The sequence below is a fragment of the Homo sapiens genome, chromosome 4 (assembly GCF_000001405.40).
Source record: "Homo sapiens chromosome 4, GRCh38.p14 Primary Assembly".
NCBI classification, from domain to species: domain Eukaryota; kingdom Metazoa; phylum Chordata; class Mammalia; order Primates; family Hominidae; genus Homo; species Homo sapiens.
The window spans coordinates 114,509,465-114,514,144 of NC_000004.12; the positions used below are offsets into that span (position 1 = coordinate 114,509,465).

The window sequence follows — 4,680 nt, forward strand, 5'->3', positions numbered from 1 at the left end:
ACACTCAACAATAGTTTGTATCAAGGAACACAAAATCTTTACTAGTAAAATTTCCAGCCCACTCAGTTAAAAACACCAGATAGCACTATTGAAAAGATGTGTGAAGAAATTGAGAGGGTAAGTATATTAAGGATTTTGATTAAAAAGTTTTAACCTTTACTTGAATCCATATCTTAATGTAATCTTTTTCTATTAGAAAATCTGGATCTCAATATGATATCACCTCCTAACAAGTTATATATTAGCAGCAAGTTTAATTTTTTTAGTTTAGAATATAATTGACAAAAGTTTGCTTAGTTTTGATTATATTTTCTGAGTTAATATTATTAGTATCTGTAAAGCTAAAAACAGTTGAATAATGAGCTTGAATATTTTAATGGCCTTACCTTGATTAGGTTGAAAAAGTAATGGTGGAGGGCGGAAATCATAAAGAAAGTAATTTCACAGCCAGCCAGCCAAACACATAAAGTACACAGTTTTATATTTTCCTGCTCCATAATTTGTCTATTATTTTGTATACACACTTATGCATAATAATGAACAAATTGTAGAATACTAAAATATAAAAGTTATTCAGTTAACCAAAATGAAATAAGCAGAAACAGTTTCATAGCCATTTTAAAATTTATAAAGTACTGCTACTGTCCTGCCTTAGTAAACTTACCAGTCAAACCAGCTGTTTCTTTCATTTCATCCAAAGGGGATCAAGTGAGAATGTGGTATAGCAATGGTACTCCTGCGAAAGGAAGAACAAGCCAAATAAGCTTGGTGAGGGTGGGTGCTCAAAAGTCCAGTGAAATGGGAAACCCAGGTGATCAGTGACAGTGGTGGAAGTATCATTAAAACTGTAGGACATTCGTGAGGAATGTGTTCTATTAATAGGGAAATCCCAGGAAATTATATCTTGCTGACTCCTTAAAAGGAGGAAATCAGTTGTAGGAACACAAGTCTATCTCTTTCTCTTCTCTGTGCTTCTTTTCTTTCCTTTCCTTTCTGCTTCTCTTCACAGGGCATGAATGAAAACTGGTTGGCAAGATACCAGGAAAAATTAGAATAAATGATCTGGACTAACTTGGAGAAAGAGGCCTTGGTAAGAACCAAGACTAGCTGATTTTCATACCTCTTCTGAAAAGCTCTCAAGCGTTTTCCATAGTGCAAGAGCTATTAATTTTACAAGTTAGCTAAATTGCCAAGTTTATTTTGTTAGTGTCCATCTTCTCTTTCTGAGTGCCTCTCCTATTTCCCCTTTTGATTCCCTTTATATTCTCTTCTCTTCTTTTCCAGGCAGCCAAAGGTCAAAACCTGCTAACTCACAGTTCTGACTTTTCCCTGATAAATTTCTTTTTTTTTTTTCCCAACCAACAAAATCACAACTAAGTGTCTGCATAGGAGTTATCAGCATGGCTAAACTAAGAAAATTCACTTTAGGGTATAAACATATGTCCCTGCTATCCTAGAGACACATGTGTTTCTACCCACCTCTTTGGTTTACTCCCACCTACCTAGTTAAAAGAAACAAAATCAGCATCAAAGCCAAATAAATATTTTCACCGCCTGTCTTTCTTACTCTTGATAATGTTCTCTGGTTGCAAATGATGGTAAAAGCTATTAATTGATGATGTGGGTACTGGTGGTGGTAGGAGGATTTGTAAAATGAATGGGTACAATAAGCCGGGAAATTTAAAGCATTGAAATTTATGACAGGGTGGGTAAACATGAGTAAGAGATTTTGCTCTGCCAAAGTTTAGCAACTGTAAGTTCTGTATTATAGCTCTGACCAAAAGATAAGGCCAAAATATTTACTTTGACTAGGAGATAAAGCCAAAAAATATATCCTAAACATTGTCTTATTGAAATCAGAGACCTCTCCATATTAAAACAAATAATTATTCTATTATTCAAGGAGCAAAACCAAAATAAAATTGTCCTATGCAAAGAAAGTAGTAGGCAGGTCTTGGGTATCAGGATTTTATATGACATTGATAAGGAAAGTTATAGAGAAAGAATTTTACAAATAATACATTTACATTTGATTTTTCCTCCACATATAAAAAAAGAAGGAATTTTCAGAGCATTAAAAAAAGAAGCCCATTAATTCACTTTTTTATTCATTATAACACACAAAGCTTATGAATACTTCTTATGCTGTAGGTAGCATCTGATAGTTGGGTTAGCCATGTGGATCATCTCAGGCTACTACCTCACTCTGAGGTGGAAATAGACATAAAATGGAAATATACAAAATAATAAAGAGACAAATCTGTCTTATGCCTTTTACAATATATTGAAAGTTTAACAAGTTTAAATAAATAGAGTATCAATAAAAGGAAATTTGGTTGTAAGTGACAGAATTATACAGAAATGGTCAGAGTAAGACCTTAGCCATTCACCTCCAAGAACTATCCAAAGGGAAGGAATCCCTGTGCCAAGGACTTGAGATGTCTAGTCTAGTGCCTGATATTTGTCTTTTGTGGGAAAAAATGTTATGTTCTGATGCTTTTAAACATTCATCTCAAATAAACAATATTTCTGTTGTGATTCTTCTTTCAGCCTGCAGAAATTCCCTGTTCATAATGTTACTTTTTCTATAATTTGCTTACAGAGAGAGAATGCACTGGTTGGAGGACTTGAAGTGTCTGAATATTTTAGCATTTATACTTATCAGTATACACTATTAAAAATGGCATTTTAATTTCTTTATATTTGTCTCATGAGCCTTATCTGAATGACTCAAACTCAAGTCTGATTAAGTCTGAAACACCTAAGGTGACACTTTTAGACTGTGTTCTAGGGAGTACAACTGCCCCAGCAGTTGTAAAGGGATGTTTTTAAACTAAACATTTTGTGCTCAAATAAATGTGAAACTGAATTCAAATTCACACTGTATCTACTCACTAACTATATGACCTGCATCAAATAGTTAACCACCCTCTCCCCTTTTTTTTTGAGCTGGGGTTTCACCCTGTCACTCAGGCTGGGGTGCAGTGGCTGATCCTGGCTCACTGTAACTTCCAACCCAAGCAATCCTCTCACCTAGCCTCCTAAGTAGCTAGGAGCACAGGCACACACTACCACACCTGGCTAATTTTTTGTATTTTTGGAAGTGATGAGATTTCGTCATGATGCCCAGGCTGGTCCTGAATTCCTGAGCTCAAGTGATCTACCCGCCTCAGCCTCCCAAAATGTTGGGATTATAGGCGTGAGCTACCATGCCTGGCCAACCCTTTCATAATCTGTAAAAATTCCCATTTTAATAATTATATCTATATAAGAGAGTTGTGAACTCTAAATGACAAAATAAAGGTAAAGTAGTCATCACTGTATAGTACTGAGTAAGGGTTCAGTAAATAGCAGCTAGTAGCCACAGCAATAATAGAAAAAAATAGCCTTTAAATTACCATATCTATGTCATCATATCAGAAGTCATTAACATTGTTTTTCATCATTAATGCAGCATTATATAAGATTTTGTTCATTTGTACTTAATATCCTTTATGTAGATTGGAAACTAATGTTAAGCTAATTTCTGGAATTTTTTTTCAATGACAGGTTTCTATTCGTCATCAAAAGACCTTCAGGCAATTAATAAGAGACATGAATGAGAATGAAAGTGATGATATAAAGCATGTTAATAAGTGTATAAAGGAAACATGACTCACTGAGAAAAGTAAATACAGCTCCATTGACTAAATTCTAGTGGTAAAACTAACTGATAATGATAAAAGAAGCCCAGAGTCATATAACAACATTTATTAGGGAAACTGCACATTCAACTAGTGATAACAAAAGCAAAATATTAACAGAAAATATGGGCAAGGATTATGGTTTCTGAATGTTGGAATTAGAAAAGCTAAAATGTCCCATGCAAAACATTTATTTCAAATTAAAATGTTCTTTAATAACAAACTAGTTTGCATTTCAAACAATTACTGATAAAGATTTCTGCATTAATAGGCCCTATAACTCATTATATGAATTGATAAATATAGTTACACAGTCAAATAGGAAAAGTTTGTCATTTTTCCTATTTTTTATGCCCTCTATTTGTTCACATCAATGAATATAAAGAAAAATGTAATGTGTTAATTTTCTTTCAGACAGGGTGTTACTCTGCCATCCAGGCTGGAGTGCAGTGGCATGATTACAGTTCACTGCAGCCTCAACCTCCTGGGCTCAAATGATCCTCCCTTCTCAGCCGCCTGAGTAGCTATGACTACAGGCATGCACCACCATGCCCAGCTAATTAAAAAAATTTATGTATATATAAATCATGTCTTATTATGTTGCTTGGGTTGGTCTCAAACCTCTGGACTCAAGCAATGCTCCTGTCTCAGCCTCCCAAAGTGCCAGGATTACAGGTATGAGCCACCACACCCAGCCTAATATGTTAAATTATTCTGAATTTTAACTCTTATCACCAACGTGTAAAACAATAAAAATGTACATTTACTTTAATCGAACATTACAAAAAACTAATATTTATGTCTATATCTTGATCTATATATTAAACAAGTTAGTATGAAAGTTATCAAAATCACAGTAGTAACAAATTACTAAAGTACATAAGCAGACAATAGTCTCATGAAGAAGTATAATTAGTAAACAAACAGGAAAAATATTTTTAACTTTGTGATATCCAAAAACTAAAGTAAAAATAAGACTTTAACTTTGCTTATAAAA

At 33.9% G+C, this 4,680-nt stretch overlaps 1 annotated feature.

Annotated features, from left to right (window-relative positions):
* Positions 4,068 to 4,313: a silencer, noted in NCBI's record as "fragment chr4:115434688-115434933 (GRCh37/hg19 assembly coordinates)". NCBI's record gives its function as "represses an EF-1alpha promoter that drives an FKBP-Casp9 reporter gene in an ReSE screen in K562 erythroleukemia cells {active_cell/tissue: K562}" and the evidence as "EXISTENCE:reporter gene assay evidence [ECO:0000049][PMID:32094911]".